This window comes from Homo sapiens, chromosome 9 (assembly GCF_000001405.40).
Source record: "Homo sapiens chromosome 9, GRCh38.p14 Primary Assembly".
Classification (NCBI taxonomy): Eukaryota; Metazoa; Chordata; class Mammalia; order Primates; family Hominidae; genus Homo; species Homo sapiens.
This window is the reverse complement of record NC_000009.12, coordinates 105,091,266-105,103,309: the sequence shown is the minus strand read 5'-3', so window position 1 is coordinate 105,103,309 and position 12,044 is coordinate 105,091,266. Positions and strand designations below refer to the sequence as shown.

Genomic DNA, 12,044 nt, shown 5'->3' with positions numbered 1-12,044 from the left:
GATATTTGTGTCTTCACATAGGTCAAATGTCAAGAATAGTTCATGAGTTCTCTAAGGGAAGAGTGGGGCTTCCACAACATGGAGGACTTGACTGAGTTGTCTTCTTCTGGGTGTTGGCTCTCAGCATCCTGTGATATATTGCAGTTTACTTGGGCCAGTGTGGATTCTAAGAAAAATGCATTATCTAGTTTGAACTAAAGTAACTTTCACAAAATGAACAAAAAGCTTAAAAAGATACCTGTAATGACATTGTAAATTTAAGACAATACCTATAATGGAAGCATAAGGAAACAATGAGAAAATGGCAAAACAAACATTTCTGCTCTGTTATGAGCTCTTTGTCTGCCACATTAAGAGATAAAACAATGATATCTAGTGAGATCTGACAAGAGGTGTCGAAAAAATTAGACATTATCATGGAGCCCTGTTTGAATTGTGGATTTAAGTCTAACATCACTGACAATGAACATTGCCCCAAAGTGTATCTTGTGCTTGAGTTTTATCCATAAAATTGTCATGGTTATCATAACATTTAGAAATGAAGCATCTAGAGTATGCAGTCCAATCTTACAGCTTTTTTACAGGGATGTTTTAATCAGGCACTGCTCAATTTCACTTAATTTCACTAACTTTATAGATTTTAGCTTAACAGCAGAGGTTAAAAAGCTACATACTATTAGAGAAATATGTGTTCTTCTGCCCTGGTAAAACTTGGCAGAAATAATAAGAAAAATGTGTTCCTTTGTCAGCAAATATCATTGGAAAATGCATAGAAAAGATTGCTGAAGATCTGAGGAAACAAGCATTAGGGTAGATTTGACATCGTGGAAGGTTTCTGATATAATTGGATGAAAGTACAGATATTTCTAACTTGACTCAATTTATGATACTTGCTGGATTCTGGTTCAATATTGAAATACATAGAAAACAATTCTCTCTATCGCCATTAAGAAAAATGTATCTTGGAGGGGCTATATTAAGATATAATTATACCTTCAATTATAATTATAATTACTTCTTAAATACAAGAGGGATAAGGCTAGAGGAATAGAGCATAAGTGAAATTTAATGACCGCATCATTCATATGCAGTTACTGTAGCAAAGAAGTTAGAGCCATAATAACTAAAATTCCAGGAATTTTAGGTGTGATAAATTTTGTGAAAACAGAAACTTTAATCTTAAAAACTTCATAATGATGTATAGCAGAAGTTGGCAACCTTTTTTGGTAAAGAAGATAGTCAGTATTTTAGGTTTTCCAGGCCATATGGTCCCTATTATAGTGATTCAGTTCTGCCACTGTAGGGTGAAAGCAGCCATAGACAGTATGTAAATTAATGAGTGTGATTGTATTTCAATAAAACTTTATAAAAACAAGAGTGGAATGGATTTGATGTAAGGGCCATAGCTGGACCCCTGCTTTATAATGAGATGGGGTAGCCATAAACACAGAGGTTCATCGTTTATCTTCTGTCAAAACACTTTAAAAGGTTGTTGAAGTTAAAGACAAATCTGCCATTTATTGATTTTCTTTTTTTGAGACAGAGTCTTGCTCCATTGCCCAGACTGGAGTGCAGTGGTACAATCACAGCTCAGTGCAGCCTAGACCTCCTGGGCTCAAGCAATCCTCCTACCTAAGCCTCCAGAGAAACTGGGACTACAGGTATACACCACCACACCTGACTAATTAAAAAAAAATTTTTTGTTGGCGAGGTGCGGTGTCTCACGCCTGTAATCCCAGCACTTTGGGGGACCAAGGCGAGTGGATCACGAGGTCAGGAGTTCAAGACCAGTCTGGCCAAGATGGTGAAACTCTGTCTCTACTAAAACTACAAAAATTAGCCAGACACAGTAGCAGGTGCCTGTAATCCCATCTACTCGGGAGGCTGAGGCAGGAGAATTGTTTGAACCCGGGTGGCAGAGGTTGCAGTGAACTGTGATTGTGCCACTGCACTCCAGCCCGGACAACAGAGTGAGACTCCGTCTCAAAAAAACAAAAACAAAAACAAACAAACAAAAAAAATTATCTAGAGATGGGGATGAGGTAAGGGGTGTGGGTGTCTTGCTATGTTGCCCAGGCTAGTGTGAAACTCCTGGGCTCACTTGATTTGCCCGCCTCAGCCTCCTAAAGTGTTGGGATTATAGGTGTGAACCATTGCACCCAGCCAATTTATTGGTATTTTATGTGTCAAGTGGGTGTCAATAGTATGCTACCTAGCAGACAAATTAAAGGAAAAATAAGAACAGATTAAATAGCTTGTTTCTTCAAGGTAAAAGTGACATCTAATAATGAGAAACAAACTACTTTTTAAAAGATACGCAGAGGACATTTTCGAAAATGACTCTGAGGAAATGTCTCTATTGGAATATTGTTGTGGAAAGTACATATGTTTGTCATCTGCATGCTGAATGCACTTGGAAAAAGAATTTTCTAATATGTTTAATAATCTCCTAAAGAATTGTAGTGGGTTTTGAATCTAATTGTTAAAAAATATAAACATGCAACCCCTTCTAATTTGCTTGCTGGGTAATTTTTTGGCATCAAGAATGATGGAAATCAGGCCGGGCACAGCGGCTCATGCCTGTAATCCCAACACTTTGGGAGGCCGAGGTGGGCGGATCACCTGAGGTCAGGAATTCAAGAGCAGCCTGGCCAACATGGTGAAACCCCTTCTCTACAAAAATATAAAAATTAGCCAGGCATGATATCAGGTGCCTGTAATCCCAGCTACTCAGGAGGCTGAGGTGGGAGAATTGTTTGAACCCAGGAGGCGGAGGTTGCAGTGAGCTGAGATGGTACCATCGCACTCCAGCCTGGGAGACAGAGTGAGACCTCATCTCAAAAAAAAGGCTGGACGTGGTGGCTCATGCCTATAATCCCAGCACTTTGGGAGGCTGAGGTGGGCGGATCACTAGGTCAGGAGATCGAGACCATCCTGGCCAACATGGTGAAACCCCATCTCTACTAAAAACACAAAAATTAGCCAGGCATGGTGGCGTGTGCCTGTAATCCCAGCTACTTGGGAGGCTGAGGCAGGAGAATCACTTGAACCAGGGAGTTGGAGGTTGCAGTGAGCCAAGATTGTGCCACTGCACTCCAGCCTGGCAACAGAGCAAGACTTCGTCTCAAAAAAAAAAAAAGAGTAATGAAAATCTATGGGCCAAATTTCAACAAAAACCTCTGCATGAATGATGGATAGGATTTAAAAGATGGCAATTATGATTTAGTAAGTGCAGCTAAGCAAGAGAGTTCTTCCATTTGGTTCTATTTGGAACCTCCATGTGAGGTTCTTTTTCCATCTATGTCATCCATTAGAATTAAGTGTTGATCATAAACTGAACTTAGATGCAGGCCTTCAAATTGCTGTGACACAAAACATTAAACTAAGATTTTTATTTATTTTTATATTTACTTTTTAAAATTTTATATATATATATATATATTTTATTATTATTATTTTTTAGTTGGAGTTTCACTCTTGTTGCCCAGGCTGAAGTGCAATGGCACGATCTCAGCTCACCACAACCTCTGCCTCCTGGGTTCAAGGGATTCTCCTGCCTCAGCCTCCCAAGTAGCTGGGATTACAGGCATGCACCACCATGCCCCGCTAATTTTGTATTTTTGGTAGAGACAGGGTTTCTCTATGTTGGTCGGGCTGGTCTCGAACTCCCAGCCTCAGGTGGTCTGCCCGCCTCGGCCTCCCAAAGTGTTGGGATTACAGGCGTGAGCCACCGTGCCCAGTCTATTTTTTAAAATGTTTTGAGACTGAGTTTCCCTCTATCGCCCAGGCTGGAGTGCAGTGGCGTGATCTTGGCTCACTGCAACCTCCGCCTCCTTAAACCAACATTATAAAAATAATGAAACACATTGAACACATCGCTTACAGATATTTTTTGTTCTAGAAATTAATAAAATAAATATTATTTAAAGATTTTATTTCATACATTGTGTGGCTTTTAACTATCTCTCTTGTAATAAGTTTTAACATGTAAAGTAGTACTTGTATATTATATAAATATATGAATATGCATATTTTGGTATTTTGGAGTCTGTATGCTAAACCTTTAAAAAATTATGGTGATGGGCCAGGCGCGGTGGCTCACGCCTGTAATCCCAGCACTTTGGGAGGCCGAGGCAGGCAGATCACAAGGTCAGTAGATCGAGACCATCTGGCCAACATGGTGAAACCCCGTCTCTACGAAAAATAGAAAAATTAGCCGGGCATGGTAGTGGGCGCCTCTAGTCCCAGCCACTTGGGAGGCTGAGGCAGGAGAATCACTTGAACCCGGGAGGCAGAGGTTACGGTGAGCTGAGATCATGCCACCGCATTCCAGCCTGGTAACAGAGCAAGACTACGTGTCAAAAAAAAAAAATTATAGTGATATATTATCCAAAAAGTTTGGAGACTGTCATTTGGGGTAGGGAGGTAGTATGCATAGCAGAACATTGATGGACTTTGGAGCTACACAGACCAGCTGTGAGTAATAATAGTAATTACCACTTAATGTTGCTCCTATGGCTAGGCACCATGTAGGTGTGTTGCAGAAATTATCTCATTTTATCCTGTCCAAAACCATATGTGAGAGGAAAACATGGCTGCATTTCCTTTTTTCTCTGCACTGGACACATTTCCCAAGATGCTTTGGGGCAGACTAGGTCTTCTGCTCCTATGAGCCCCGTGGCCCTCAAATTCTCTTTAACTCTAAGACTGCTGCTCTAAAATTAGGCTCAAGTCTGCCAGGCTCTGGAAAGCATTTAAGGGGATTTCTATGTCGTTCATTGAACAAAAGGGAAAAACCCATAACATCACTTCTTAACATATTATTATATAGTGAACTTTCAACTTTAGATTCAATGGGGGTATTGGCAAGTAAGGATGGAATGGCAGGTTCAGAAAAATCCAAAACCACAGTTAAAACAATATTATAGTCAATGCTCCATTATTTGGAGAAGATGAACTATAATTATATTGTTGGCTAGACCTGGGAGGGGTTCATTTTTTCACTGAGGCTGGGCTTTGGAAGAGGGTCAGACTAAGTCCATACATTCAGGGAGACTCAGAAGGCAACTGGTCCCTGCTCATCCTGCCCCTTGTTGGAGTAGAGGCTGGTAATCTGAACTCATTAATTTCTGCCTAATCACTAACCCTGCAGGTTGGGGAGGCCTGCCCCTCTCAGATCCATGCTGCACTTGACCGCCATTGCTACACCCTAAATAACAGAGTGTGGACTGACCATTACATTTAAAAATAAGAAAACTGAGGTTTAGAGAGATTAAGTAATTTGCATACTGACAGAAAGCCAGTGTCAGAGTTGGAGTTAGAGGCCAGGTCTGGCTGATTCCAAAGCCTCTGTGTCTTCCACTACCTCAACTTGTGCAGTTTGGTCCTTGGCTACTGTGACAGAGATATTTTTGGATAGAGGCTCTTCTTTCTTGAATCTCAAAGTATTATATTGGCATATGCCAATTCTGCTTATGCCAGATGAAAGCCTTGTGATTCTCCTTTTCTGTGACTTTGCTAAGAGTCATAAGGGACTTTGAAATCATCCATTCCAATGCTCTCATTTTGCAATGAATAAATTAATACCCAGAAAGATAGAGTAACTTCCCCTAGCTCCCCACAGTAATTAGTGATGGCTGTAAACCTGCTTGATCTGAATTTTTTTTTTTTTTTAGGTAGATTCTTGCTCTGTCACCCAGGCTGGAGTGCAATGGTGCAATCTTGGCTCACTTCAACCTCTGCCTTCTGGGTTCAAGCAATTCTCCTGCCTCAGCCTCCTGAGTAACTGGGATTACAGGTGTGTGCCACCACACCTGGCTAATTTTTGTATTTTTTAGTAAAGATGGGGTTTCACCATGTTGGTCAGGCTGGTCTTGAACTCCTGACCCCAAGTGATCCTCCTGCCTCGGCCTCCCAAAGTACTAGGATTACAGGCGTGAGCAATCCCACCCGGCTTCGATCTGAACTTTTGAACTCTTCACATATTGGGAAAATGATCCCAGAATATAGATGTGTGTGATTCAGCTTCAGTTTTCAAACATCCATAATTGAGCACCAGAGTTATAATTTTCTTTAAAAAAAAACAGACCAAGCATGGTTTCCCACCAAACTTGGTTGAAACTTTAAACCTGTCTGGGGCAGTGGTTATAGTGTACTAATCCTGGGTTTGTTTCTTGTTCTTATTTGCCTTGATTTGAAAAGATGAGCCATATGATTCCCAAGTGTTTGGATGCTTTTCTGATGCTTTCAATAATACAGCATGTAGAGAGTAGGACTTTTTATGGTCAAGAGATGGTACATAACCATCACAAAATCCTATCCTATTTCTTTGGAGGTTCTAGCAGGGGAGCGCAGCTATTCGTATACCCTTGACTGAAGACTGGTCCTCCTCTACTGGGGATGGTTGTCCTCTTCGACCAAGTGTGCGGCTTCAGCAGGGACACACATGGAGCAGTGAGGGTGGAAGGGGACACCCGCCTAGCCAGCCAGATCAACCAAATCATCCCTGGTGATCAATGGGTGGCAGATGTCGCAGTCAGATTGCCCTCACATCCATCCTATCTTATTTCTAAGACTGAATTTCTAAAAAACTCTGATTAGGTTGTGTGTGTGTGTGTGTGTGTGTGTGTGTGTGTGTTTGGCTTACACCTGAGCCTGTAGAGTTATGCCAGGCCTCTAATTTTGTCTTCCTGTTATAAATAATGAATGAATTTACTAAGTGACAACTAAAAGCAGAATTTTTTTTTATTGCTTTCACTCCTTTATTCAAACATTAAAAATACATTGAGTACCAGGCCGGGCAGTTACTCATGCCTGTAATCCCAGCACTTTGGGAGGCTGAGGCAGGTGGATCACCTGAGGTCGGGAGTTCGAAACCAGCCTGACCAACATGGAGAAACCCCATCTCTACTAAAAATACAAAATTAGCCAGGCATGGTGGCACCTGCCTGTAATCCCAGCTGCTTAGAAGACTGAGGCAGGGGAATCGCTTGAACCCAGGAGGTGGAGGTTGTGGTGGTGAGCCGAGATCGTGCCATCGCACTCCAGCCTGGGCAACAAGAGTGAAACTCCATCTCAAAAAAAAAAAAAAAAAAAATCGAGTACCTACAGTATGCTAGACTCTGTGCTTATCCTTGTCCTTGAGAGTTTCATGGTCTAGAAGAGGAGATAAAATTATAAAGACATATAAGATTTGAAAAGACACATGATGACTATTGTCATAGAAGTGTGTGGGCACTGAGAAGCTTATATTTGTCCAGAGGAGTGGGGAAGACACTGGAGGAAGCGATATTTGATCTGAGTATTAAAGGATGAGTAGGAATTCATCAGTAGGGAAGGGGAAAGTTTATATCAGAGGAAAAGACTAATGCAAACAAAGGTAGAGAGGAGTGGATCCCCACTGAGTTGTAAATTCTTGGTGGTTGGTAACTTAAATGTGAATGACTAGTATTTCAACACTTAGGGCCCATAAAGACTGATTTCAAGCTTTTAAAATCCATTTTTAAAAATTAATTTTTAAAGCTAAGTTGTAATTATTGTTTGGCTTTGCTGGCTATTATTTATTTGGCATCTATTCTGTGCTCTTAACTGTGTTAGGTGCTTTAAATATCTAATTCCTATGGCAATTCTATACTGTCGCTACCAAAGAGGAAACTGAGTATCAGGAAGCTTAAATGCTTTGCCACGGTCTTGACGTGTAAGAGGCCAAGCAAGATTTTTGCTCTTCAAACATACTTGTACTCACCAAAGTCATTTATTTTTAACTGAAGTAATAGTCTCTACTATGAAGTGTAAAACAGATCTTTAAGAATGAATGCTTTTGTTTTTGTTTTTTTCCGAGATGGAGTCTTGCTCTGTCTCCCAGGCTGGAGTGTGGTGGCATGATCTCAGCTCACTGCAACCTCCACCTCCTAGGTTCAAGCAATTCTTCTGCCTCAGCCTCCCGAGTGGCTGGGATTACAGGCATGCACCACCATGCCCGGCTAATTTTTGTATTCTTAGTAGAGATGGGTTTCACCATGTTGGCCAGGCTGGTCTCGATCTCGTGACCTTGTGATCTGCCCGCCTTGGCCTCCCGAAGTGCTGGGATTACAGGCATGAGCCACCGCGCCCAGCCCAAGAATTATTTATTAAAAGAACTTAAAAGTATTATAGAAGACTATTTAAAAGCAGCTCATCTAGCTTTGAGGTATAGATCAAGAAAGTCATCCAGAGAGGTTAGGTGACATGCTCATGGCCCAGCCAGTTAAGATAGCTTGCTGATACTTGATCCTCTGCTTCCTTCAATACTGCTCTGGCTCTTTGACACTGGATCCCAATTATGCACCTGGGAGATGTAACAGTGAATAAGAAATACTGCTTACAGGAAAGCTCAATAACTTGCCTAAGGTCACAAAGCTCAGGAGGAGTGGAGCTGGCACGGAAGCCAGGCAGTCTGGCTTCAGAGTCCATGGTCTTAACTATGCTCTTACAGAGGTGTAGAGATGGGAGGATAGGATGGGCAGCCTCTCTTTAATCCTGCCATTATTTGCTCAGGGACCTACTAAAGACATTACTTAGGCCAGGCGCAGTGGCTCATGCCTGTTATCCCAGCACTTTGGGAGGCTGAGGCAGGTGGATCACCTGAGGTCGGGAGTTTGAGACCAGCCTGGGCAACATGGTGAAACCCTGTCTCTACTAAAAATACAAAAAAAAAAAAAAAAAAAAATTAGCCGGGTGTGGTGGCACTTGCCTGTAATCCCAGCTACTTAGGAAGCTGAGGCAGGAGAATCACTTGAACCCGGGAGGCAGAGGTCGCAGTGAGCCAAGATCATGCCACTGCACTCCAGTCTGGGTGACAGAAAAAGACTCCATCTCAAAAAAAAAAAAGACGTTACTTAAACATATTTAGTACTTTAATGTTCCCAATCTGTAGTCACATTTGCCTAACATGTCACCATTTACAAAGTACATTAATAAGCTTGACTTTGATGGCACTTCACAACAACTGTGGGAGTTATAGCCAGGGCGGGTTTTGTTATGCTTATTTACAGATGAGGAACCAGGCTCAGAGAGACTAAAGGAGTTGTTCAGCCTTACGTATCGCTATGCAGAGATGGGATTAGAATCCATTACAAAGTTAGTAGTCACTGTCTTCAAGATACTTTATGTAATATAAACAGAGGCACAATCATGACTGAAAATGAAAGGCAAAATGTGATGTGTTCTCTAGGACATACTGGGTAGGATGATTGGAGGTTTAGAAGATAAGAAAATTGTATCCCATTGGCTTTCTGTCAGAGGGGGCATATGAGCTAGCTAATAAATATGGAAAATATATAGACAGGTGGTAATAGTGAGGAGGGCATTCCATGGGAAGCATGAATAGACCTGGAGTGTGAGCTTCTGTTTCAACCTCAGCTCCTGGCAGCTGGTTCATTCATCACTGTATTTGAAGGCTCAGCCTGTCCAGGCCAGTCTAAACAAGAGGCAGGTAGCTTGGCTCTCCCCTTTCGGATCTGAAAGTTTCCAAAATGTTCCTGGGCTCCCACAAAACTTCTCAAGCCATGGTCCTTTTGCTTTGGTTTTTGCTGCCCTGGTTATTGACTACCCCATATTTAGAGCCTGCCTGATTTGCTGTCTAATATCTGTGGCTTTGCTGTTCCATGAACACATACATGGATGATGTTTCCTGCTATCACCACTACACAGAGCTGATTCCATGCAGTTAATTACTCAGCTAGCTGTGGGCTGCACCCCACCTTCCACTTCTGTCTACTCAAAATGCTTCAAGCAGTGGATTTCATCTGCCAGAGAGCTGACAGAGAGAAGGTACTTCATAATACTATCAATCCTAAAATAACCACTAAAATAAAGCAGCAAAAGTTATAGCTAATAAGCCAATAAAAGAAATAGAAGGGAATAAAAATAAATTAATGAATCCAAATGAGGGCAGAAAAAGAGGAAAACACAGAGAACCAATGAGATAAATTGAAAGCAAATAGCAAGTGGGTAGATTAAAACCCAATTGTACCAATAATCACATTAAATGTAAATGGTCTAACACCCAAATGGAAAAACTGAGATTGTCAAATTGGATACAAAAGCAAATCCCAACTATAAGCCACCTGTAAGAAACCCACTTCATTTATTTATTTATTATTTTAATTTAATTTTTTTGAGACAGGGTCTTGCTCTGTCACCCAGGCTGAATGCAGTGGTGGAATCATGGCTCACTGAAGCCTTGACTTCCTGGGCTCAAGCAATCCTCTCACCTCAGCCTCCCAAGTACCAAGTAGCTTGCTGGGACCATGGGCATGCATCACCATGCCCAACCTTTTTTTTTTTTTTTTTGTGGAGATGGGGGTCTCACCTTGTTGCCTAGGCTGGTCTCATACTCCTGAGCTCAAGTGATCCACTTGCCTCAGCTTCCCAAAGTGCTGGGATTACAGGCATGAGCCACCGTGCCCAGCCAAGAAACCCACTTTAAATATGAAGACATAAATATGTTAAAAGTAAAAGATGAAGAAATCATCTTCATCTTTCTTCTCTGGGAAATTCAACCCTAGAAGGTATCCTAAAGTGATTCCTGTCCTGGGGCTCCAGGTCTCTCAGGAAGTCCCCAAGCAAGGAAAGTGAACTCTTTCTGACCTTCATTTCCATTAGGTGTTTCCTTCATTATACTGTAGTGAGGGTCCCAGAAAGGTTATGCTCTCTGCACTCCCCTCAGGCTCTTGGATCCTATCTGGGTGATAACCTCCTGAGCTTTCCTCAGAAAAAAACCGAGGGGAACTTGGTGATTGATACCAGCTTTCCCAAGATGTTAGTTTGGTCTTGATGAAAACACTTTAGTGGGCCGGGCATGGTGGCTCATGCCTGTAATCCCAGCACTTTGGGGGGCTGAGGTGGGAGGATCACCTGAAGTCAGGAGTTCGAGACCAGCGTGACCAACATGGTGAAACCCTGTCTCTACTAAAAATACAAAAAATTAGTTTGGCATGGTGGTGTGCGCCTATAGGCCCAGCTACTCGGGAGGCTGAAGCAGGAGAATCGCTTGAACCCAAGAGGCGGAGGTTGCAGTGAGCAGAGATCGCGCCGCCACTACCCTCCAGCCTGGGCAACAGAGTGAGACGCCGTCTCCAAAAAAAAAAAAAAAAAAGAAAACACTTTAGTGTTATACCACTGCACTTAGAATAAAGGCAAAATTCCTTAACCTAATTTACATGGCCTTTTATGACCTCCCATTAATAGGCACACAAGAAAAACATAATAAATATGAGTTCAATAAACAAATATATGAAAACATTTAAATAGAGAGGAGAAATAGATTAGTCTTTGCTCACCTGTCCAGTTCTTCTCTCAGTGTGTCCATCTCCCCATCGTATGCTATATTCTAGCCATACTCAGCCCTTGCAATTTCTTAAAATCTCTGTGCTTTCTTTACTTCGGCTTCACGCATGCCATTGTCTTATTCTTGAAACATTCTTTCTTGCTTTCTCACACTGAACACAGACACACACACACACAATTACCCCTGTCTCCCATCCCCAACACCCCACACTTGCTTAAATAAGTCCTCCTCATTCTTCAGGAGTCAGCTTAAAAGTTGTTCAGAAAGTTTTTTCCACCCTTTTAGTTGGCGGGCCTCCTGTGAGCTCCCATAATTCCCTGTGCTTCTCATTTATAACAATTTTCATTTTGTGTTGTAGTCATTTAATTGTCTATCTTCCCTGTTAGATTGAAGCACAGGAACTCAATAAATTGCTTTTTAAAAATTAATGAATAAATTCATGAAAGATTCTACACTCAGAATGAAAACGAAGGCTGCCCCACCTCTATGGCAGGATATCCCAGTTGGGCAGAGAGAAAGAAGGAGGAGCTGAACCTTGATCTGGAGCCCGGCTTAGAGTCCCTGGGGAGGGGTATTTGTGTGTGCTATCACTCAGCCTTTTCAGGGAATGTGAAGAAAGGAACTGTCATACTAAAAAGGGCTACCCACCTATGAGGGAACTAATAAAATGTCTCTTCAATGGCTGACTGTCCAAGGTCTGGCTGTCCAAGTTCTG

At 41.9% G+C, this 12,044-nt stretch overlaps 1 long non-coding RNA gene and 1 pseudogene across 1 annotated transcript in view; both read right to left on the bottom strand.

The window, feature by feature from the left end:
- Positions 1-11,497, bottom strand: part of LOC105376197 (uncharacterized) — a 63,129-nt gene extending 51,632 nt beyond the window's left edge. The window contains exon 1 of the long non-coding RNA XR_930205.3: positions 11,322-11,497. This is a non-coding gene — a long non-coding RNA (uncharacterized LOC105376197). The remainder of the gene's footprint in view (positions 1-11,321) is intronic.
- On the bottom strand, positions 6,325-6,554 carry RN7SKP191 (RN7SK pseudogene 191; annotated as a pseudogene).
- Positions 11,498-12,044: the final 547 nt, after the last annotated feature.